Source organism: Homo sapiens, chromosome 8 (genome assembly GCF_000001405.40).
Source record: "Homo sapiens chromosome 8, GRCh38.p14 Primary Assembly".
NCBI lineage: Eukaryota > Metazoa > Chordata > Mammalia > Primates > Hominidae > Homo > Homo sapiens.
In genome coordinates, this window is record NC_000008.11 from 118,172,051 (window position 1) to 118,198,412 (window position 26,362).

At 39.9% G+C, this 26,362-nt stretch overlaps 1 protein-coding gene across 4 annotated transcripts in view; it reads right to left on the bottom strand.

Moving 5' to 3' along the window:
- Window positions 1-26,362, bottom strand: part of SAMD12 (sterile alpha motif domain containing 12) — a 490,139-nt gene that overhangs the window by 40,226 nt on the left and 423,551 nt on the right. For 3 of the 4 annotated variants that reach the window (NR_109794.3, NM_001349811.2, NM_001101676.2), the window contains one exon: window positions 17,418-25,682. The exons of the other annotated variant lie outside the window; for it this stretch is intronic. Coding sequence is in view for 2 of the 3 variants with exons in the window: in NM_001349811.2 (NP_001336740.1) it covers window positions 25,660-25,682 (23 nt within the window). In the remaining variant the exon portion in view is untranslated. Of the gene's footprint in view, window positions 1-17,417; window positions 25,683-26,362 lie in introns of those variants that run through there. 4 annotated transcript variants of the gene reach the window in all.

Here is a 26,362-nt window from a genome sequence, read left to right on the forward strand (position 1 = left end):
ACAATGAGAATACTTGGACACAGGGTGGGGAACATCACACACCGGGGCCTGTCGTGGGGTAGGGGGAGTGGGGAGGGATAGCATTAGGAGATATACCTAATGTAAATGACGAGTTAATGGGTGAAGCACACCAACATGGCACATGTATACATATGTAACAAACCTGCACATTGTGCACATGTACCCTAGAACTTAAAGTAAAATTAAAAATAAAATAAACTAAAATGAGGGAATTGTATGTATTGTTTAATTTCAATATGGTTGTTTTTTAAAAAAGAAAGAAAAAGAAACCTGAAACAGGTCTTGAATGTTAGACTTTATAGTCAGTTTCCTCAGTAAAGGTTTTTAACATATAGAATATATATTTGATCATTGCTTTGGTCCTGCTTAACACTATATTTTACAGCAGTCAAAGTCTGCATGCCTGTTTGAGCAAATTGGAGACCATTGGAAATTTGGATGGGAATGTAATTAGCTGAGTTGAACCTTGGCCAAAAGGCATTGTTTTCTAACTGGAAGGTACTATTGGGTTTTTAAAACAGTTTTATTGAGGTGTAATTGATATATATAAAAATCTGCACATATTTAATGTATACAACTTGATGAGCTTGAACATGCACATATATCCATGAAACCGTTACCACAGAGTAATAAATATATCCATCACCTCCAAAAGTTTGCTTCTGCCTCTCTTTCCTTTTTTTTGTGATAAGAGCACCTGAGAGCTCCTTTTTGACAATTTTTCTGTATACAATATAGTTTTGTTAACTATAGGCACTGCTGTACAACAGACCTCTCTTATTCATCTTGCAGAATTGAAACTTTATACCATTTGAACAACAACTCCCCATTTATCCCTCCTTCCAGCCCCTGGTAACCAGAATTCTACTCTCTGCTTCTAGGAATTTGATGGTATTTGTCCTCGTGCTGGTGGAATCATGCGATATTTGTCCTTTGATGACTGGCTTATTTCACTTACCATAATGTGCCAGTTCCTAGGAATAGGGTTTTCTGTCCCTTGCATAAGATAGGAATCATACTTTTCAACAAGCTCCCCTTTCCTGTTGGACAAGTGGTACAGTATTGACACATGGTTTAGAATGCAACCTCCTGAGTGAACAACACTATTCCTTGCCATGCCTGAAATTTCTTTTTATTTCTTTGCCTTCCATCCAAGTATTGATCGAGGCAGGGTTCTGTGTAGCTTACAACGTGTTAGGTGTTGTCAGACTATCATGTTAGGCCTGCCGCTGTAATGGGCTGACTGTCTTTATGGAGGTGGAGAGCAGAAGGGCAAGCTGGTGGATTAAGGAACAGAGGCACTTGCCTTAAGGGACCCAGAGGCTTAGCTTAAAATTGGTGCCCCTGGAACCTCCATCTTATTGACAAAGCAAGTAGCTGTCATTGTACATTACAAGGCCCTGTCTTTTAGACAAGCAGCCTCTGTTTTCTTTTATGCGATGGGCTATTTTTGGATGTGTTCTTGACCATTATCTAATATTTATATATATATATAATCTATATATTTAACTATAGATTATATATTTATATTTATTATATTAAATTATATACATATCCATAACTTTTTTTTTTTTTTGAGATGGAGTCTTGCTCTGTTGCTCAGGCTGGAATACAGTGGTACAATCTCAGCTCACTGCCACCTCTGCCTCCTGGGTTCAAGTGATTCTCATGCCTCAGCTTCCCGCATAGCTGGGACTATAGGCACGTGCCACCACACCTGGCTAATTTTTGTATTTTTAGTAGAGACGGGGTTTCACCATGTTGGCCAGGCTAGTCTTGAACTCCTGACCTCGGGTGATCTGCCTGCCTTGGCCTCCCAAAGTGCTGGGATTGCAGGCATGAGCCAACACATCCAGCCTATATATATATATATTCATAACTTATCTGGCAATTAAAAATACTGCCTGTTAGTAATTTTAAATAATATTTTAGATGGACTGATGTGTAGTAAAAAGAAAAAATTGTTCTGAGTCAGTACAGTTCAAATCTTGGTCCTGCCAGTTAAAAGTACTGGACCTTGGGGAAATCATGCAAGCTGCTTCTGGGTTTTGGCCCCCTCCTCTGTTAATAGGCTAATAATTTTACCTATCCTGTGGGATTGATCTGAGGATTCAATGGGGCAATGTTTGCCAAAGTGCTTTTGTAAAGTTAAAAGGGCTGTCATAGTCATTTGTTGCATGTGGACCTGTTTAATGTCCCCAGTGAGACTGAAGGCTCCCTGTTTTTGCAGATCCTCAGGATGTGTGAGGACACTCAGTTCAGATTTGTTGATTTTTGGGGTTGTTTTGAGGGCCTTTTGGTTGTTGGGAGACAAGAGGTGTTCAAGGCACCTTTTTCTGACTCACTTCTAAGGAGACTGGGACATGGCATGGGTCAAGTGTATCTGCGTGGGCCATTCATTCATTCACCTATTTAATAACTATTAACTGAGTGTTGTTTGGGTCTAGGTGCTTGGGAAAAAGTGGTTCATTTTACTATACTGGCAAATGCTCCACTTCCAGGAGCTGACATTCCAGTGGAGGAAGACGATCCAAATAATCAATGAAATAAAGAAATACAAAATTTCAGAGAATTTTAGTTCCACTGCACAAAATAAAGCAAGATAAAAAGGTAAAAAGTGGGGGTGAAGAAATTATTTTTTCCCCATTTTATATGGATAAATTTCAAATCTACAGAAAAAAATAATATGCAATGAATATGCATTTTCTCATCACCCAAATCCATCAGTATTAACATAATGCCACACTTGCTTTCTTTTTCCCCTCTATGTGTGCATGTCTTTATGTACTTCTTTGTGTACATGTGTGGGTTTTTGTTGTTGTACCATTTAGAATAAGTTATAAATATCATGGAATTTTATCTCTAAATAGTTCAGCAAATATTTCCAAAGAACAGGATCTTTACCTGTGTAACCACAATGCCATATGACTTTCAAAAAATTTAGCAGTAAAGCAAAAAAAAACAAAAAAAAAAAAACAAAAAAAACAAACAAAAACCGGGAGGCATCATATTACCTGACTTCAAACTATACTACAAGGCTAACCAGCTGGGTGCTGGTACAAAAACAGACACATAGACCCATGGAACAGATTAGAGAACTCAGAAATAAAGCTGCACACCTACAACCATCTGATCTTCAACAAAGCCAACAATAACAAGCAATAGGGAAAGGACTCCCTATTTAATAAATGGTGCTGGCATAAGTATAACTGGATAGCCATATGCAGAAGATTGACACTGGACCCCTAGTTTTACCATATATGAAAATCAACTCAAGATGGATTAAAGAATTAAATGTAAAACCTAAAACTATAAATCCTAGGAGAAAACCTAGGAAATACCATTCTGGACATTGCCCTGGGCAAAGACTTCATGACAAAGACTCCAAAAGCGATTGCAACAAAAATAAAATTTGACAAGTGGGAGCTTATTAAACTAAAGAGCTCTTGCACAGCAAAAGGAACCATCTGCACAGTAAACAGAGAACTTACGGAATGGGAGAAAATATTTACAAACTATGCATCCAGCAAAGATCTAATATCCAGAATCTATAAGGGACCTAAACAAATCAACAAGCAAAAAATAACCCCACTAAAAATGGGCAAAGGACATGAAAAGACACTTCTCAAAAGAAGACACACATATAGCCAACAAACATGAAAAAATGCTCAATATCACTAATCATTAGGGAAATGCAAATCAAAACCACAATGATATATCATATCACACTGGTCAGAATGGCTATTATTAAAAAGTCAAGAAGTAACAGACGCTGGCAAGATTGTGGAGAAAAGGGAACTTGTATACACTGTTGATGGGAATGTAAATTAGTTCAGCCACTGTGGAAAGGAAAGCAGTTCAGAGATTTTTTCAAAGAACTTAATAGAATTACCATTTGACCCAGCAATCCCATCACTTGATATATACCCAACAGAATAGAAATTTTTTGGCCAGGCGTGGTGGCTCACGCCTGCAATCCCAGCGCTTTGGGAGGCCAAAGCGGGTGGATCACAAGGTCAGGAGATCGAGACCATCCTGGCTAACACGGTGAAACCCCATCTCTACTAAATATACAAAATATCAGCTGGGCATGGTGGCATGCGCCTGTAGTCCCAGCTACTCAGAAGACTGAGGCAGGAGAATTGCTTGAACCCGGGAGGCGGAGGTTGCAGTGAGCCGAGATCGTGCCACTGCATTCCAGCCTGGGAGACACAGCAAAACTCTGTCTAAAAAAAGAAAAAAAGAATATGAAAAAGAATATAAATTGTTCTATCATAAAGACACATGCATGTGTATGTTCATCACAGCACTATTCACTATGGCAAAGATATAGAATCAATCTAGATGCTCATCAATGGTGGACTGAATAAAGAAAATGTGGTACATATATACCATAGACTACTACATAGCCATAAAAAAGAATGATATCATGGCCTTTGCAGCAACATGCATGGAGCTGGAGGCCATTATCCTAAGTGAATTAATGCAAGAACACAAAACCAAATACTGTATGTTCTCACTTATAAGTGAGAGCTAAACAACGAGGACACATGGACACAAAGAAAGGAACATGAAGTCTATTTGAGGATGGGAGGAGGGTGAGAATTGAAAAACTACCCATCCTATTGGGTATTATCCTGATTATCTGGGTGACAAAATTACTGGTACACCAAACCCCTGTGACACACAATTTACACATGTAACAAATTGCACATGTACCCCTTGAACCTAAAATTAAAAAAAAACCACTATTGTAGTATATAACAATAGTATTTAACATGGAATGAAATTCCAATTTTCCTCAGTTTTCCCGTAAATGTCCTTCATAGCTGTTTTTGTTACTGTCTGTTTGTGTGGGAAAGTGGTCATTTGGGTGATGAAAAAGTTTCTCTACAGATGTGGCATTTGAGAAAAGACCAGAGTGTTGAGAAAGAAACAGTTACGTGGTGATGCAGTGCATAAGCCTAGGCATGGAGAATAGTAAGGTCCCAAGATGGGAATGAGTGGATGCGTTTCGGGTATCACAAAATTGGGCATGAACAAAAGGGAGAGTGTTGGCCAGAGGAGAAGTTGGAGAGGCAGTTGGTAGCAGATGATGCAGAGCTTATGGAGCTGCTCATGAGTTGAGTTGAATTTTGTATTAAGTCTAAAGGGGAAGCCACAGAGAATTTTTTTTTTTTTTTTTTTGAGACAAGATCTCATTCTGTCACCCAGGCTAAAGTGCAGTGGTACAATCATAGCTCACTGCAGCCTCTACCTCCTGGGCTCAAGCCATCATCCTGTTTCAGCCTTCTGAGTAGCTGGGACTATGGGCATGCACCATGTCCAGCTAACTTTTTTTTTTTAATCTTTTGTAGAGACAGGGTCTCACTGTGTTGCTCAAGCTGGTCTCAAACTCCTGGGCTCAAGCAATTCTTGTGCCTCAGCCTCCCAAAGTGCTGAGATTATAGGCGTGAGCCCCTGTGCCCAGCCACCAGTGAGGATTAACGCCTGGGAAGGAAGCTAGGCACGGTGGCTCATAGATGGGTGTAATCCCAGCATTTTGGGAGGCCGAGGCAGGAGGATTGCTCAATCCCAGGAGCTTGAAGCTGCAGTAAGGTATGATCACACCACTGCACTTCAGCCTGGCTGACAGAGTGAGATCCTGTTTTTAAAAACATAAAATAAAAAAACAACATAAAGGAGATGCCATTAGAAATTAAAAACTGAGAAGCAATGTGGTCTGATTGATGTTTTGAATAGATCATTCTCTGTGCCATGTGGAGAACAAACTGAGTTGGGCAAGTGTGTGGTAGGAAGAGGCCCTTTCAGAATCCCAGGTGGCTGACACACATGCAGGTTTATCTGCTCCCATCTGGTCTAACCACACTGCCATACACTTCTCTTGAAACCTCGCAACCACTGTTCCTATGCTGAATTGAAACGTCCATAAATCTGAAAACCTGAAGCCATCATACGGTGGCCCAACCTGTCAAACAGCAGTTTAGTTTTGGCTATCCAGGTATATTTGGGTAATTCCATGAGTACAGTATTTTCTTATGTTTTTCTTATTATTTTATAAGAACAAATGGAAAATAAAACACTAAATGTTTGAGACTAGAGTTAACAAGCGTAAGCCCCATACATTTAGTGTAGTTAAAACCTAAATTGAGGTTATTAATCAGTTGAAAGTGGTAAATCTTATTTTAAGCCAAGCAACGTTTTGTTCAATTGCAAAGGAAAAGAAGCTTAAAGACCATAGACACACTTATGGAAATGCATGCAAGAAACATCTGAAAAAAGTGAGGGACACTTAGGAATTATATACTAAGTTTTGGCTCTTTTGGACAAAGTACTTCCTGCAAAGCATAAAAACCCATTGTATGATTTTTCAAACACTAGGTTTTTTTTAAATTAAAAAAAATTGTTTTTTTTAGACAGTCTCCCTCTTGTCACCCAGGATGGAGTGCAGTGCCATAATCTTGGCTCACTGCAACCTCCACCCCCTGGGTTCAAGTGATTCTCCTGCCTCAGCCTCCCGAGTAGCTGGGATTACAGGCAAGCACCACCATTCCCAGCTAAATTTTGTATTTGTAGTAGAGATGGGATTTCACCATGTTGGCCAGGCTGGTCTTGAACTCTTGACCTCAGGTGATCCACCTGCCTCAGCCTCCCAAAGTGCTGGTTTTACAGGCATGAGCCACCGCCCCCGGCCACACATTTCTTATATTGAATTGGTCAGAATAATTAATGCTAACTGCCACAGCAGACAAATCCTGAAATCTCGACAGATTACACACACAAAAAGCTGTTTCTTGCTCATGTAAAGTCTAATGTACGTGGGGCACCTCTTTCTTTGTAGCCTCACCATCTGGCAAGTGTGGCTCTGAAAGTAGCCTTGGATGCTCAGAAGAGAAGCACAGAATGAGGCTGTCTGCCTGTTCATGCTTCTGCCCAGGGGGTTGGGTGGGCATCATCACTTCTGTTTATAGTCCACAGGACTCCCTCCTCCCATGGCTGGCAATGGATGCAAGCATTTGGAATTCTTGGGGAGTGTCAATAATTTCTCTACAATTATCGGACGTGAAAGTAAAGAATTCTAAATAAGGGGCCGGATGCGGTGGCTCATGTCTCTAATCCCAGTAGGGAGGCTGAGGCAGGCGGATCACCTGAGGTCGGGAGTTTGAGACTAGCCTGACCAACATGGAGAAATCCCATCTCTACTAAAAATACAAAATTAGCCGGGCGTGGTGGCGCATGCCTGTAATCCCAGCTACTCAGGAGTCTGTGGCAAGAGAATCGCTTGAACCTGGGAGGCAGAGGTTGCGGTGAGCCGAAATCACAGCATTGCACTCCAGCCTGGGCAACAAGAGTGAAACTCCGTCTCCGAAAAAAAAAAAAAAAAAAGAATTCTAAACAAGGAAGTCTTCAGGGATGCTTAATGTGGTTGGCCAGGTACGAGGGGTAGTATTTGGAATAGGAGATGCAGAGGAGTTAAGAAATTAAGAGCACTATCTTCTTTTAGAGCTCTCTTTTGGAAAACTTCCTTTTCTCTTTCCTCCTGGCCTCAGGTTTTCTCCCTTACCTTTTAAAGGTGAAGTCATTACTAGAGTCAGGCCCAGGTGAAAGAGGCCTAATGCCAACCAAGCACTTAGGTCATATTCTGATTTAGGCCAGAAGAGGCAAAAGGGAGTGTTTGCGGTTTACTATCTGACTTATGCACATACGGGACTAGGCAGGATTTTTGGATCAAAACTGTGGGTACTTATAAAGCCTAGATTAATCTGGATTACCCTTCATACCATCAGATATTTGCAACAGCAAAAGGCCACGAGGCAGCATTCAGAGTCCAGACCAGCATCTACTATCACAGCTTAGCGTGGCCACTGAAGATGACAATTTAAATCGTGTGAAGGACTAAATTCAGAAACAACACTCAGCATCAAAGTACATTTGTTTTGGAGGTTTAGCCCAGTTGCCGGCAGCCTAAAGCTGGTGCTCCCTCGGCCGGACTCAGTGCCCAGTAGACGGGGCTGAACTGTGGCTCCTGAGAGGAGGTCAGGGGGCTGAAATGACACCTGCACAGGGCTAGCCAGCTTTGTAAGCCTGCTGTGTTCTGAATCCTTTATCTTTTCTCCTAGGATCAGCTGGAGAACTAGAATATCTATCCGTGTCTCATTCACTGTGGCCAGGCGAGATGAGAGGCTGACCAGAAACTGTGATTACTCACATTTGCTTCTGTGGCACTTAAGGAATATGGGTTTGACAAACGATAGATGAGAGCCAAAGGTTTGGGATTATAGAAATTTATGTGCCAAAAATATGTAATACAAATATCCATGTACACACCACGACCCTTCCCTTCTATCTCATTCCTGCCCCCAACCCGCTGACCCTGGGTCATTTCCTAACTATCTTGCAGTTAGGCAGAGAAATGTGGCTCATTCTGTCTAGTGGGCTATGGCTGTGAGTGTTTCATGCCTTTCTCTTTCTCTCTCCCTCTCTCTCTCTCTCGCTCTTTATTTATTTATTTATTTGCTGAGACAGGGTCTCACTCTGTTGACCAGGTTGGAGTGCAGTGGTGTGATGCTGGCTCACTGCAACCTCCGCCTCCCAGGCTCAAGCAATCCTCCCAGCTCCGCCTCCCGAGTAGCTGGGATTACTGGCACATGTCACCACACCCAGCTATTTGGTAGAGATAGAGTTTCGTCAAGTTGCCCAGACTTGCTCAAAATCCTGGGCTCAAGGAATCCTCCTGCTTTGACCTCCCAAGGTACTGGGATTATAGGCACGAGCCACTGCACCCAACATCATGCCCTTCTCTTCCTTTGCTTATGGGCCTGGAATCCAGGTTTTCCAGATTCTAGAGCCTCCGCTGTCAGCCTGAGTACTGTGGGGGAACAGAGTCCCCTACAACCTTACCTGAGTCAGGCATGTAAGATAAGCCAGAATTAATGGTTCAGTGTGCTAAGCTATTAAAACATTTTAAATTTTGTATTAAATTTTTTTTTTTGTTTTAGAGATGGGGGTCTTGCTATGTTGCCCAGGCTGGACTTGAACAACCTTGATCAAGAAATTCTCCTGCTTCAGCCTCTGGAGTAGCTGGGACTACAGGTGCATACCACCACGTTCAGTTAAACTATTGAAATTTTAAGTTTTATTTCTGGTTACCATAGCACAATCTAACCTCTTATGACTAATGTTGGATTCACAATAACATCTTGGCTCTGCCACTTGCTATTTTGGGCCTCTATTTTCTCATCTATAAAGTGGAGGTCACAATACTCACTGTAAGGACTGTCAAATTTTTGTCTGCCTTGCATCCATTCCTTCTGAACGCTGCTGCCACCTCAAAATTCCATGAGATCCTTTTGCCGTCAATCTGGGGATCCACTTTCCCCACAACAGGGCAGCCAATTAGAGAGCCACATCTTCTTGGACACACTGATTGGGCCAAGGTGTAGCATGTGACCCCAAAATGGGCAATCAGGGTCCATTTTCAGGACAGGTGGATGTCATGAGAGAGGGTCTCTTTCTGCATAAGGCTGGGACTGTGAGATGTCATCTTTGCTATTCATGGAAGAAAGCACCACTTGTGGATACTAAGAGACTGAGCTAAACAGCCCATCCAGCCCTGGTTTTTCTCTATTACATCATCCAATAAATCTTTCTCTTTCTGTCTCTCTGCTTAAGGTAGTTTGAGTTGGGCTTTAGTCACTAGCAGCCGAAAGAGTCCTGACCAATGCCCCTGCCTGGGAGTTATTAGAAGGATTAAATAAAACAGTGCATTAAAGTACCTGCCAAATTGCAAATGCTCTAAACGTAATTGCTATTCTAGCTGAGGTTGGTTGCTAGAGGGCTTTAGTCATGAGCACAGTATTTTGCTTATTCCTTATTCTCAGTCCTTTAGGTAACCTTAAGATTTGATGAGCTCATAAACTGAGACCACATTATTTTGGACCCCACAGAATTTTTTTTTCCACTTGGCCGCAGTAGTCTCTGTCATTTGCTGCCTCGGAGGGGCATCATAAGAAACAGATATTTGAAAACCTTTATTGCATATGCTGCAGGGAAAGTGTCTACTGCTTCACTTGGGGTTCCACCTATAAAGAGACATTAAGAAATTTTTCTCAGACTTACATGGAAAGGAAAACTTGACATCTCCTAAGGTGATACATCTACAACTTTTTCACCCCCATCATCAGAGAAGACTGAGCTTATATTCTTAGGTATTGAAGGCATAGCCCTCAGCACAGTTCTTAAACATTCACATGATTTTTGCATTATTCTCCATTATACATTCATGTTTATTTTTATGGATGTTGTAAATCCTGTATCAAATCACTATGATGGCCTGTAAGGTTGGCATGAAATTTATGGCTTCTTTTTTAATAAAGATGACCAAAGTGTATAGGCTATGCCTACATCCTTGTCTTGATCTTCTAATGGTGCTACATTTTCTCTGGTCCTGAATTTTGCTTATTTATAGCTTTATATTTTATAGTATATTTTCTTATGAATTGCCACGACTACTTCGTGGAAATAAATGAGTTATGAATAAATAAAAGCTCTTGAATAAACATAAAAAAAACTTGACGAGCCTGAAATTATACCATGTGAGGGCACTGGGTATTTACTTGGTTTCCTACTAAAGCCATCTCACCCCAGTATAAGTCAAATTGAGTAACACATTGAACAAAAAAGGGTGTTTAAAATTTTGAGAGCGACAGCACAAAAAGACATATCATACATTAATACCAATTTTGGAAGACAGATGTTGGAACGGTGTTTGAAAGAACAGGTGTATTTGCTTCCTTTTCACCAAAGGGAATAGGGAAAATATTTTTGTTAACAGAAATGTTCATTATATCTTCAACTTCACACATGGGGACAGAAATTATGCAATAGCAATATCTTTACTATAAACACCCAATATCGAATTAGCTAGTTTTTCGGATACTCTTAGAAGCATCAAAGAATACAAAAATGCAGAATGAGGACTCCAAATCAAATGCCTGCTCACTTACCTACATCCTTTCCTGGGCAGTATTCTCCATGAAGACTGGACTTTGTACAATCTCCTGTTGTATTCCCAGGGCCTCACAAGGGAGGCACCCAATAAGTACTTGTAGAATAAATCATGACCACCTCCCCTTTTCCTGTGGGAGGAACTTTGCTGCAACTTGAAGGCCAAGTCATTGCTGGCTACATTTCTTCTTCTATCATATCTTCTTCACCAACTGAATTCTGTGCAATTCTTTAAAGTAGGAGTTCTTAAGATGAGATGGGTTCAGAAATTTCTTGAATCCACTGAAAAGGTATGCCAAGGTTTGTGCATTGGGTACATTTTTTGAAAAGAGCATGCATAGCTTTCATCAGTGTTTTCAAAGTACCTGTGATCCTGAAGAGTTTAAGGACCAGTTAGGCAAGGGATTCATTGTCTAGCATAGTGCTTTGTGTATAGTGGGTGCTCAATACATGGATATACAGTTTAATGGTTGAGATTTTTATGTTTCCCAGTCAGAAATAACTGGGTTAGCTCTGTGATATGGCCTAATAATTGAATCCCTTTAAGCCTTAATTTCTTTATGTGTGAAATGGGAACTATAATATCTTACTATTATTATTATTTTTAATTTTAGTAGCTTTAGGGGTACAAGTGGTTTTTGGCTACCTGGATAAATTGTATTGTGGGGAAGTCTGGAATTTTAGTGTACTCATCACCCAAGTAGTGTACATTGTACCCAGTAGGGAGTTTTTCATCCCTCACCCCTCTCCCACCCTCCCGCCTTCTGAATCTCAAGTGTCCATTATACCACTCTGTATGCCTTTGCATACCCATAGCTTAGCTCTCACTTGTGAAAACATGCGATATTTGGTTTTCAACTTCTGAATTACTTCACTTAGAATAATGGCCTCCAGGGAAATGATAATATCCAACAGAATATTGTTAGAATTAAATGAGGTGATGTAAAGAATATTTGACCCATAGTAAGCACTCAATTAATGGAGCTACTGTCTTTGTTAGAGGAAATTAAATCATATTTCAGAGACCAATATCACATACTCACCAGGACTGATTCTCATTATAGCAACCTTTGTTTTTCAAAATGAAATAAAAAAAAATATATAAAACCGTTAAAAAAGGATTTTATTTTCACAGAGCAGCATCATTTAATGATTTGGCAATGTAATAGAAATGAATACAAGAGGAAAACAAAGGCAGGGATGTATCTGTCATGTCCAGGGTCAGAGATGAAGTAAACCTGACCAAACGGGAATTAGGTCTTTGAAACTCTCCCAGTCTCTTCCCTCTTCCTTCCTGCCTCCACCTCCATCACTGTGTGTATGTACCACATGTGCACACAAACACAAAAACACACTCCCAGAAATGTCATTATTTAAGAGTTAGGCAGAAGATCTTTCTGAATAATTTCTTTCTTTCTTTCTTTCTTTTTTTTCTGAGACAGAGTCTCACTCTATCACCCAGGCTGGAGTGCAGTGGCGTGATCTCTGCTCACTGCAACCTCCGGCTCCCCAGTTCGAGCAATTCTTGTGCCTCAGCCTCTGGAGTAGCTGGGATTATAGGTACCTGCCACCATGCCTGGCTAATATTTTGTAGTTTTAGTAGAGATAGGGTTTCACCATCTTGCCCAGGCTCATCTTGAACTCCTGACCTCAGGTGATCCACCTGCCTCAGGCTCCCAAAGTGCTGGGATTACAGGCATGAGCCTGCTAAGCCTGGCTCCCTCTTTAAAATATAGTTCTGAATTCACCCTCTCTCTAATTCCCCTAATTTAATTTTTGAATAGAGTGTCATCAAAGGGAGTGTCAAGTTTGATACCATTTGTTCTTTTTTTTTTTTTTGAAATCTTTGAAAGACTTCTTTTTTCCTGATTCCATTGTATCCAAGAATAATCTTTAAAGATTTTTGGCTTAACCAATAAAAAAATCAATACCTGTTTGCGTTGATGAAGTTACCAACTGTGGACCTATGTGCTTGTATCATTGCTCTAATTGTGGTCCGAATTTTTGTTTTCTTTGAAAAACTGCTTCTATAACACCTGGGAGACAAAAATATTTGTAAAATGAAAACATACCCTTTAGAATTAAGAAGGAAAGTGAACTATGGTGTATTAGAAGCTTCTAGATTTTCTAATTATGCACTTATTTTATTTTAAATAAATTTAATTTTTTATTTCAAAAGATTTTGGGGTTCAGGTGGTTTTCGATTACATGAATAAGTTATTTAGTGGTGATTTCTTGGATTCTTGTGCACCCATCAACTGAGCAGTGTAAACTGTACCCAATATGTAGTCTTTTATCCTTCACCCCCTTCTCCCTTCCCACTGAGAGTCCCCAAAGTCCATTATATATTCTTATGGCTTTGCATCCTCATAGCTTAGCTCCCACTTATAAGTGAGAACATATGATATTTGGTTTTCCATTCCTGAGTTACTTCACTCAGAATAATGGCCTCCAGCTCCATCCAAGTTGCTGCAAAATAATTATGTGCTTACTTTAAAAGCAAAGCTGAGGATAAGTTTGTACAAAATTAGAACTGAACTGAAGTAGTGTGCTACAAAGGGATTACAGGAGTCCATCTATTCCAAACCCCTAATATTCCAGAAGAGAATGTTAAAATATAGAGAGATATGAGCCTTGTCCAAGGTTATGCAACTGTTCCCCCTTCTCCATCCATGGCTGGTGAAAAGGCTGGGATGTGATAGGCTAACGGGGTTGAACATGTAGTAGCTGTTTTGTAATTATTTTCATTAATAGAAAGTGGCAGGTTTGTTTTTAGCCCACTTTTTATACCCCAGGTTTCCATCTCCCTCTCAGGGGGTCCATCTGTGGCACCACTTCTTTCCTGAGGGTCTGCACACTTGCCTGCTTGAAAGAACATTGCCATGAAGCACTGGTTGGTCTAGAACAGTATTTCCAAAAGTGTTTGTTCTATGGGCTGTAAATTGGTATTCTCTGGGGGAAAACAGTTGATGCTTGAATGAATTTTGAAAGTGCTACATTGAACAAATGTGTATGATTATTTCTTGCAAGACTTCTCAGAGCCTTTAATGTGCTAATAGGCATCCCAAGTCTCTAGGACAAGGGTAAAGTACATATATCATATTTTCAGAGCTGACTTGATTATGGAATATTCTTGCATCTCTCCCCAACCCCAACATCTGGGAATAAATGGGTATTAAGTTATCCTTCCAGAGATATTTTCATTTTAATATAGGCTACTTAAGAAGAAGTTATTAGTTGAGCTGCTTATTTCTCTTAGTGTGTAAGGTCTCTAAAGTCAGGAAAAATATCATTCATTTCTGAATCAACAATACTTAGACCAGTAAGGTGAACAGTTCTTGGCACACAGGACAAATGGCACAAGATCCACCTATGTTTGTTAAAACATGAAAAGATTTCAAGCCCCACAAGGCTTACTTACTGGAACTAGAATTTAAACCATCAATGGCAATCAAATTAACCTTCTGTTACCCTCCATTTTTTTTTTTTTTGAGTCATCAATTTCACAGCCCTGGGGCAAGAATTACTAAGAAAAATTGATAAAGAAAATCATTAAGAAAAATATAGTATTATCATATCCCTTTTTCTTCTTTTCTCACTAAAGAAAAATTCAATGTTTACTAGTTTTGTTTTAATGATTTTGAAAGGGAGAATCATGACAAGGATAGAAAAGCTGAGCTGGAGAGGCAGAAGTGGGAAAGTTATATGGAAAAGGGTTGAGATTTAGAAGGTTCTTCCTGAGAGAGAGAGAAGAGTTAAAACGGAAGGAAGCAGCTGCCTTTGGGTGGAGGATAATGAGGGTAGCATAGATGGGAAGTAGGATTTTAAGATATTTTCTGTGTAACTCATACCCACATCTCCACCCACACACTCGGTTTTGGAAGTATCATGAAGGACAAAGTAAAATCTTGCAATGCTTTCGTATGCATTCTTATTCCCCTCTTGAACTTTCCTGCAGACACTGGGCCATGGGAACCTAATAATATTTGGGTTACACTACTAAAAGGAGAGATATATGATGGAAAAATAGAACCCTGTCAACTTTTCAACTTCTCGTGAGAAAGGGAACATCATCAACTTGTGAAACAACTATATACAATTCTCATGATCTAGTCCCACTTTGTATTTCCCCAGTGCTACACAAAAATGTGATTGCAGTTGTCTTTCTTAAAGCTTGTTTTTAGTTAATTTTTCAATATTTGCACAATGTCTGTGAAAAATAAGGGAAAGCTATTTTACAGTGTACATACATCTATATGCCTTATAAATAGAAACTGGAGAAAGTATTAACAATTCTAATGATTTCATCATTAACAGAAAAAAATCTCCTCAACCAGCGCCAGCTCTTGGCAAAAAAGATCAATAGGAAACTAAAATGCATTTAAGGATTTCTCTAGCACAAGATAACCAGCACTGCACTTCACGTTTGCTAGGTCTCACAAAAGAGATTTTATAAGATTCTGAATAATCTTAGGTTGAAAAATTATTTTGGTGGTCTCAACTGAACTTCTCACAGACATCACTGTCTTTGATCAAAATATAGCTACAATGTTTACCCCAGGCATCATGAGTTACCCAAATGCTGAGATGACAGGAAGGCTTTTCTTTGTATTGGCAAAGTGATATATAGGAGAATCTGCCTACTCCTTGTTTGGGGAGAACATGTTAACTAAAGCTTTCACGTACCTCAGAAAACACATCTGGTGTAGTCTTTATTACTATGAGTTGATTTGTTTAATGAAGTGTTTGCAGAGGTTGCTAGGCTCAGTAGGCAGAAGGAATATAAGCCAGAAAAAACATGGCACCAAGTTTAATTCAGTTCACCTAACATTTGTTGAGCAACTATGATGTTGAGCAACTATGATGTTGAGCAATTATAATGTGCCAAGAGATGGGGATACAAAGACAGATAACTGCTCTACCCTAAAAAGAAGGAAGGAGAAGGGTAAATGGGTTGGAAGAGAGAGAGAGAGAGAGAGAGGAAGAGAGAGAAAGAGAGAGATGGGAGAGAAAAAGGGAGGGCAAAGGAGATGAGATAGAGGAAGAGAAAGGCACGTGCAGAAAGGTTTTAAGACAAGCCTACAAAAGAGAGAGGTAAGTTAAAGGCAGAGGACTAACAAAGGAAGAAAATCATAAGAGAAAGAGACAGGAAGAGAAGAAATAGTTAGAAATGATCCCAAAAGGTTAAGACAAAGAGAATATTTTGTTTGGGGGCTCTGGCTTTACCATCTTCTAAAAATGTTAACTGACAAAAAGGTGGCTCCATTTTCCAAGTTCAAAATCTTTTAAGTAGAGGAAGTAGGAGAAAATTGTGCTTTTAGGGTTGCAAGGTATATCAAAAGATTTGGAAGATTTATACGTGGAGTCAGTAAGCTAACCTAAAAGGTTATCACAGGTTTTACTTTTGGAAACCTTTCTCAGAAAACCAAACAAACACTAGATTTACAGTAAGCATGTAATAAAAAAGGCAATGGGTGTCTCCTTTCTTTTTTATGCAGTTTATAAGTGCTTTTTCCTTTCTGGGAAAGAAGTGTTTCTCCTGTACTGGTTGAGGCAATTCATCATATTCAGTAGAGTCAGAGTGTCTATAAGTACTCATTATGATGTCTCCTTGACAAAAGGAAAGGTGAAAATGGTAGTTTAGAGCAGGAAAATGGTCAATTTTTTATATTTGGTGTATCATATTATTCAGGGGATTTTTTTTTTAAGTTTGAGAAAAATGGCCCTTTAACAATACATGGAGGTGTGTGGAGGGTATTGCGGATGTTTGCCGCACTAGAGGCTGGCTATGCCAAATCTGTCTGGAAGCACTGGTTTCTAATCCGAGTCTCTTGGGCAGATGTTATTTGAAGGTCAGCCTTTCTATTGATAAAATACAGATAGCTTACATTTGGCCACCATCTTAGAGAGATGGAGCAGGAGGTGCTGGGAAATACCATCAATCATACTATTATTAGCACATAAGACTCTCTGGGGTGAGAGGAAATCGGTGGGCCAAGATCTGTTGTCCCATCTCTTCCTAGTGTGTTTACCATGTCTGAGGGGTGAAGAGAATTGCATCTATCGTCCAGCTGTGCTCGACACTAAAGAGTTCACCAGTCATTGCAATTATGCTGGTGGGATTTGGTGCTGGGGGAATTCTGTGTGCTGGGAGCCATAGGGAGGCCATCAATTCATTTCACATATATTATTTCTCTAAGAAACACAGCATAATTGAGGACAATTTTCCACCATGAATTGCATCATTAGCTAACACAGGGAAAGTGAAATGCTGTTAACTTTTCTTTTTCTTCTGCAAGCTGATGAGCTGAAGAAAATAGAAAAGTTTAATGTAATTTTTTTCAAGGATATATGTTGAAAATCAGAATCAAAACGCTTTTACACGGTAATAGAAATCCCACATTTTAATACATTGCCATGCACATAAGGAGTCAAGTAATGCTGAATACAAAATAGTCAAATATACAAAATGATAAAGCAGATTTTCCAGCCTGATAGAGATCATGCTCACAGATACAAGGGAGGCAAACATCTGTACAGTTTCATTTTTATCCATTTTATAAGAGTCATGCCCCCCTCAACTCTTTTTGAGGACAACTGGAAACAGAAGGAAACATAAGAATATACAAAGGAGACCCAAAGGGAATTGGCAAGTTGATAGCTGCTGAAGATATGGAAATCGGTGGTTCAAAATTGTGGTACACAATAATTCTTATGTTTAGAGAAAAAAAGTTTCTAAACATCTTATGCCCTGGAAGCCAGGAAACTAAAGTGGATATCCAACAGAAAAGGCACTCTTGTTTTACCACATAACTTGATTGCCTCCTCCTAAGTCTAGTCCTGGGAGTTTTTCTAGGATGCACAGAGGAAAAAAAAAAAAAAAAAAAAAAAGAAAGAAAAACCCAACAGTTGTGGGAAATGAATACAGGTAATACTTATGTAATTAAACACTCTTGGAAGACCAACAGAATTAAGACTGCTGGTTTAACTACTCACTTAAGGAAGTTATAAAAATGTCAACCATCTACCTAGGCTTCTGTGTTCTGACATGTGCTTTTTAGCCATGTTTGTTAGTGTCTGTGAAGGAATGAATCATTTTTTTAATCAGATTCTCCCCCATCCTCCCTTCTCATACTCTGTAAAGAGCACTGCTCTTATGTTCAATTCACATTGTGTAATTTTTCTTCCTCTTTCTTTCCTAGAACAAACACCAATTTGCAGTAGTTCATCAAAAAAGTTTGATGTGGCTGTCTGCTTCCTGTGCCTCTCAGTTTGGCACCTCCACACTCTGACGGGTCTTCTCCAACCTGGGATTGGCAGTCTTCACCTTGGTAGATCATGGAGCTCTAAATCTTTGGGAGGTGAAGAAGTGGAAATAAATGGACACCTGGGCTGTGGACTCTGCAGACTAGCCTCATATATTAGAAAAAGTGTGTGTGTGTGTGTGTGTGTGCGTGTGTGTAAAATGCTGATTGTTACTTCTTCATCATTCTGTTTCCTTTGTAAATCCCAGAATGGAGGCTCAGAAATAACAGCTCTACAGAGAAAGCCTCAAGTAAGGGAAAGGAATCATTGAATAAAGCCTGCAGCCCAGATCGGCACTCTAATTACACATAAGGGATATTGGAGGCACAGTATAGCTTCTTCCCTTAGCTCATTTTAGCCTCCAAACAACCCCATCTGCTAAGGAGGGACAGAGAGCACCCCATACTGAAGAGCAGTGGCCCAGAGAGACTGGGCTATTTCTATTAGTCTAGCATTCTTGAATTCAAAACATTTTCTTCCTTTTTATCAGAGCAGTGTCAATCTCCACAAAGTTCTAAGAATAACTCAAGTATATAAACCACAACAGATCGATATTTTCTTTTCTCAGGTGCTTTTTACTGTTAATATTAAATTTTGTTACAAGATTGATCTTTTCTAAAATTTTGTGCAAAGCTATTTAATTTAGTGCCTGATATTAAATAATTACATTAACTGAAACTACAATAGTATGATTTAATGATACAAGAGTTTCAGTGGAATTAGTTTCCAAATATTTGTGCTGGCTTGACTTTTCAGCAGACTGGTTCCTTCTGTCCCAATCATGACTGTGACACACAGTACAAAGTCAAGAGCCTGGTATTATTCAGCTCTCTGCAATGTGAGCTTCTTTTACTAGTTAAACCATGGTCTTCTCAGACATGGCCTTGTAAGGACAACATCTTTCTATTGGTGGAAGAAAGGTGGTGGTGGAGAAACCATTCAGAGCCCCAGAGAGCCCTAAAATTGCCTACGAGCATGAGTTTAAGCAAATAGAACCCCTTTTACCCCCAGTGAGGGCCAACACCCACCAAAGAGGCCTCCCTTTCTGGTGATCTGAGGTGGGAATTGAATAAAACTAAAAAAGACAAGGGTTTCAGCATTCAAACATGAATTTCCTACCCCACTCTACATTCATCTTTAAGGTTTCCATCTGCAACCGAAGGCCTTTTTGATGTGAAAAAGAACTGGGTCAGGCACTTCGAAACCTCTGCAGCAGCTGGTATGTGGGAAAACATAACCTTGGTCCTCTCTCAAATGCACTGTATGGTATCTGGACATAAGCATTGTCAAAAGTAGACATAGAGCCAGCAGGCAGTTCCCAACATTAACACGCTAAATGCACTAAATTGTGGTTGAAAAAAAATACTGGAGATTATATATATATATATATATATATATATATATATATATATATATATATATATATATAGAGAGAGAGAGAGAGAGAGAGAGAGAGAGAGAGAGAGAGTGAGAAAAGTAGAACTGATTTAGGGATCATAGAATCAAGGACCACAGGCATGCTCAAACTCAAATCATATTTTTGGAATTATACTTGGATAAGAAGTCTCTATAGAGGTTAGAAAGATAATTTCATGGCATTTTTGCTATTTTAGAGGCAAGGCTAACTCCTCTGAGAAGATGGGAGAAGACCATGATCAGTTTGTGGAATAGGACAGGACCAACCCTGAGGTGCCTGGGGCATTTCAGCCAGCAAATTTTTCTATGAAGTTATCTTCAAGATCAGTTATCCTACCCTAAGTGAAAGCATGATCTAGTAAGAGTCTCCTGTTTTGCATTTTTTTTAGCATTACATATTTGAATATATTTTTACAGAATTTGGGCGGTGGCGGTGATTAAATGCAATCATATTACAGATCTGTTTGCTCTCATGCATCCACTCAGTCTGGACTTCTACATTTGGTAGATGTGTCTGTGCTAATGTGGCAAAAGCCATATGAAACCAACCATTTATTTCTCTTGATCCAAATGACTGAATTTAAAAAGGTTATAAACAATGTGGAAGGCAACCAGCAGAGTCTTCAGTGTTTTAATTGTTTGAGGTATTAGTATCTCCAGTGATGGATTAATTTAATAGCCTCCTTCCTTGAGGTTCACATCAGTAGGGCTGTTATTAATACTCTGCACATGAGGCAAAAAGGCCTGGGCTTAAGAGCCTTTCTAAGGCTTCTCAAAATATCTGAGGTTTGGAAAACAACAACGCAACAAATAACCAACCAACCAAACAAACAAACAAACAAAAAACCTCCCAAACCATTGGCTCCAATTTATGAAAATTGAAAAGAATTTATGAAAATTGAAAAGAATATGAAATTATGAAAATAATTTTGTATGATCAGAAATAATGTCTAAATATCTATGACACTTATTATGTCAACCAGCCAATGGTAATTCAACACAAGTCATATGTTTACTTTTACATTACATTAAGTATATGCTGTTGGTGCCTTCTTGTGCTTGATATAATTGTAGGAGGAAAGCTCTGAAGGAAGAATGCTTGGAGTGCATCAGGGTTTTTAAATAGCCTTACGTGGCAAATTGAACTTCAGTTTTATGATATCTTTGGCATCCATTTTCTGCTGTTCCATGGAAGTCATGTCTCAGTCATTTTGCCGTTAGGCAGGAAGTATAAAACTAGCCCTATGCCTGATGGCAGTTCCCTTTTACATTTGTTGCTGGTAAATTTCACCTGAAAAAATTTAGATTTTAGAAACAGTGCTTGCTCTCACCCAGAATTTTCCCTGTGGAGCTAAGGTGATGGACAGAAGGCCATCAGTACTGTTACTGTCCTTTTAGCTACTTTCCCCAAATGAGAAGCATCTATTTTGTTCTTTATATTAAGGTGTGGTAGAACTTTCCTGTGTACTTGGCCAACTTTTCCTTAAGTTTCCCGCTTTCAAAAGAATGCTCTCTGTCTTCCCAAAAGCCACCATAGCAAAATAATGGAAACAAGGCTCTCTTTTACCTTGAAGCTATGCAATGGTGCCAGGAATCATGTGCGTTGATAAACCAGAATTCATAGGATAATTTTCTGGATTCAGGATTAGATTCAGATCTAAAAAGACTAAGGAGCAGGATCTGCCTTTGAAATAGAGTCCTTAGTGGTGCCTGGAGTAGAAACATCTCCTGGCCTGTCCTCCTTCCTGATCTCAGGGCTGCACTGGGATTAATTAATCTTCCAGATGACTGGTCAGCGTTATTAATCCCTACCTCACTGCTTTTTGGGCAACAAATTTTCACCAAGATCAAGCTTAAGAAGAAATATTAGGACTGGGGAAAAAGGTAACAAATACACTTTTTGTTGAGTTCTTTATAGAATTCTTGAAAACTACCCACAGCATCATGTTAAAAGAAGAGAGATGAAAGAAAAAAATCCCCGCAAAAAACAAAAAAGTGCAGTGGAGGGGGCTGTGGGAGGGGTGAATGAAAACAGCCTTAAAGCAATAAAGGAATTTGTGTCATTTTCAAAGATTAGATTTTTCAAAAGAGTCTAAGACGATTGACAAGTCTAGTTGTCAAGTAACAAAATTATTCTAAAGAATGTAGAGGAAAACATCACAAAGAACAAAACTGCTCATGTACTAGAAAGAGGAGGTTTTGGTGAAAGTAAAGTGCTAAGGGGGGTATTAAAAACTTCAATTCCTTGAGACTTTTGTTGTTCCTATGCAAAATCAATTATGTGACATTTGCAGACAAAGAAAGCATTTGCAAGTAACAAGGGGGATCCATTAGAGGTTTTTATCCTTAGTTGATATTCTCACGTACAGCTGATACGCCTTTTCTCCTTGAATGTTAAAAATGGCAGAATTTCCTCAGGACTAAGGACCGTTAGCCTCTTTCTGAGCAACTGCGAAGTGACTCTGGAGAGATTCCTGGCTTGTTTGCCAGGATTCCGGAGGTAGAAGTGAAATCTGCGGGTGCACACCTCACAGAGCCTGAGCAAGGATTTGAAGGTACGCCACTACCCGCAAAGAAAGTTGATAGGATCTCTCTTCCCCTAGGTACGTCTCAAACTATTGAAGTAATTTGCTTTTCACACTAGCAGGACTGGCAATGCTCTGCATATTCAGTTCTGGAGTGGAAATAAGCGAATCCCCTTGGCACCATGGAAAGTCTCATAATTATTCATTTCTGTTCATTCCCAAGAGTGCCTTTCCTGCACAAGTCTGGGTGTCAGCCTTTTAATAAAGGTGTAGCACAGGTGTAGGTAAAAGGAAAAGTCAAGCATCAACAGTTTACAGTCCTTAGACATAAAAATATGTATCCTTTACTTCCCCACCTCTTGCTTCCTATCAAACAAAACTCACCACAACTATTTCTGGATTTCTAGGAGGTAACATTCCGTACATGCATCTTGGGAAGAAAGTACAGCACAGTTGAAGTTAACCATGGGAGATCACAGAGGACCACCACATAATAAAGAAGCCAAAGCCTGTGAATGAAGTCATTCCTCTTTTTTGCTGGTTTAGCTCTTGACTGCTTGGATTTTATGCCACCATATTTCCAAACTATCCCCCACAATGATTTCAAACAGAAGTTGACAGTTTGGAAAAGAATAGTAGTTCATATGCAAATATGGAATATGTGCCAGGCATTAAGGCATTTTTAGAGATACAGTCTTCAATGGGGCTCTTTAATGGTCTTCATTTTGCCTTCTCCTAGGTCCCTCTTCACCCATCATCTTTCAATAATTTCACAGCGTTCCTTTGACTTAAAAAAACAAACAAACTAGGAAACTCTACTTATTGAATTGTTCAGAATATTTTGCAAAGGCCAAAGTAAGTAACAATGAACCACCATCATTTAGTGAACATTTGCACTACAAAGCATGTCCAGTTTTCCAAGAGAGTCAGCAGTAGTCTCACAATGTCCTTGGCTAAATCTTAATTCCCAGTTACAATATCTCAGCACCTGGCAGTTCTTAGGCTTCATCAGACTCAACTGTGTGTCCCCTGGATGAGTTATAGAATTGGAGTGTTAGATAATCCAGCGTAGTGGTGAATGGTTGTGCCTATATAAAGAAAGGGAATATAGGTAGCCAGGGTGGATATCAAGGAAAAGCAACTGAATGCTGCTTTGGGGAGCTCCAACCAGCTCAGTCTAGGCCCTGGAAGAGTTGGCTGTATCTGAAAGGTGCAAATATGTGGCCTGATGCAGTTTACCATCTGTCACTCTGCTGCCTCCTCCCTGAGGATCCGTCTGCTGCCATGTTCTTCTTCCTAGGTTACTCTGGCAGAATGGAGAATGCTGTCTGAATTCAGTTTTCATTGTGGAAATGGTGGGGTGGTGATAATGTTGGGGAGGAGGAGATACAGTTTCATAAGGGCAGGTGGGGAGTCTGCTTTGTGGACTGTTGTTGCCCAAGCACAATGCTTGGCACATAGTAGATGCTCAACAAATGCTTGCTGAATAAAGGAAGGAATGAAAGGAAGAAGAAGACCTGCTATTAGAACTGAACCACATGAGATGGGCAGTGGAGACTGGAATATTGTGTCCAAGGGTGTTGGCAGCTGGAGTTTGGCCTCCTAATTATAGATGTGAAGAGAATTACGGTCTGCAGAGGGCCTGGCAGTCCTGGTGCTGACCTGCCGAAGGGCCAGATCTTGGTGGTGACTGCAACTTCTCTGAGTTCCTTGTTGGAAGCCCCCTTCTCTGGCTCTGCAGCCTGCCAGGCTTGTGGTGAGTCATCCTGCTGCTGACTCATTTGGACCTTCCTCCCTTTCCGTCAGGTTTCCAAATCTCAGGCGTGGGTGGTTTCCAATGGGCTGTGTATTTCCTGAGACCCTGAGCGGAGGCAGACAATGCTTATGTATCTGGAGACACCCTAAAACACCAAGCTTGCTTGCGTTGGAAGTCTTCCAGAACTGGTTACCCATATTTTAAAGCAAAGCCTCTGATGCCCGTCAGTCCCAGGCTGGGACAGTGGGCACACAGAACATACTTTGCTGAGCTTTCCATTCAACCAACTTGATATTTTCAGGAAAAAACATGCTACAGTGTTATGTAGCAAGTCAATATGAACATGTCTCTAATGCTCAAAGACAAGCAATAATTAAGTTGACTGGTTTCCCAGGACTGTGCTTTGTCGTAAGACATAGTTAAAAAAAAAAAAATTAGTCACAGGTATAATCCCAGAAAGGATTAACAAGGGACTAGTAGGTTCTACCCTAAGTAAGGAACCTAGTATAGGACTTGACCCTTTTCCTTCTCTAGGCACATAGTGGGGTCACTTGATGTTTCTCTCTTGATGTTTCTCTCTTGAGAGAATGGCGATTTCAACTTGACTTAGAATTTTTTCCGAAGTGTTAACGTCAGACCACACAAAAGAATTGCATTCTGTTGCCCTTACCATCCATCCACCATGGTCTTTGATTAAAAGAATACCATCCCCTTTTTTCCCTTGGAGGAACTCCTCCCTTGGAGGAGCCAAATAGAAGCCTCCTGTATTTGAGTACCTGTATGTTCATGTGGTCAATAGTGCCTGTGAACAAAGAAGCAAGCTAAGATATCACCATCACTGGACCCCCTTCTTCTTCCCTTTGGTGCTAGAAGTAAACCAGTTGTTCAATAAAGTATCTGGAGGTGAAGTCTAACAGTATTGTGGCCATATTTACATCAACCTACCACAAACAACTGGGGATATGCGAGTAGTGGAGTTTGTCTTGGACAGTCTGAGCCGGAAAAAAAAAAACCACTAAGATTTATAAAAATAAAAAGAAAATACTTGATTTCTCACATGTGCTGAATGTGCTGATTCATCTTGGTGTAGTGTTCTCATATAAAGTGCTTAAGAGTTGGACAGTATACCTTTAGACATCATAACTAACATAATCGAGACGTGTTTACATTCCTACCAGGGCATAATATTGTGAACACTTCCACTGAGATTGCAGAATTGCTGTAATTTTTTTTTTCTAAAACATCATGCCATCTGCACACATAATAAAATAATCCAGTAGTTGCCATGCTAAAACAGGACTTCTAGTGAAGGGCACAGACAGCTCCCCAAAGGGAACTTGAGTTATGCACAGTGATGAAAACTGGAAGCAATTTTCCAGCTAATGGTCTGCCAATGACCACTTGGAATGAGTTGGCATTATATTATGCACCTCATTTTAAATCCACAGCAAAGCAAGATTTTTCCAAAACCCATAATATTGACTGAATGGGTGCTTTTTTCAGTTAATCCAGTTAATCTGTCCACGATCCAAGGATATCTTCTGGCAGTGCCATGGGTTAGTCTTTCTGTGAGGAACAGGCCATGTTCATATCAACTGGCAGGACAGCAGCTTGGAAGGCTAACCGTGTTTATGGAGAACCCTCAGATGATGCTGCAAGAAGAAAAAGGGGGAAATATGGTAAGTTCTTTCCTTTATGTTTCCAGGCACTGATATGTAGCAATTATCTTATTCAAACAAACCCTAACACCCTTAGGCCAAAGAGAAAGCTCTAGTCAGAATAATGGTTACTCAATGCCAGGATGGATTTACAGTGGCTTATATTCATGAAATTTTTTTTTCTACCATTTGGCAAGGCATGGAAGACACCCAACTGAGAAATAGGTGAAGCTGCCTGGAAGGGAGGGCAAAACCAGATCTCTGGAATTGGCATCCAGCCCTATGGCGGGGCTGCAGTTTGGGAAACCATTTCATGTATTATGAAGGTTCATGCATTTGCTTGGTCTGGTGCAAGGTAAGATTGGGGATGGTGTGAAGCATTTTATTGTGGGAGAGAGATGGGGGTTTCATTTATCAGAAAGATTTCTTGGGATGCAATCTAGAAAAAAAATATTGGAAGCGGAATGGCTGGAGCTCTTGAGTTTGCTAGTTGCGAAGTCAGATTAGCTGGGAAGGTTAGAGACTAGATAGAGAAAGTCATTAAAATCGGACCAGAGATTAAACTAATTGAATTGCAACCCTGCTTTTGGGCTTGGGAGTGCTAGTATAAAAATATTAATGTATTTTCCTGAGTGTTCTAATTTAAATTGTCTAAAGTTCCCGTTATTTTATTT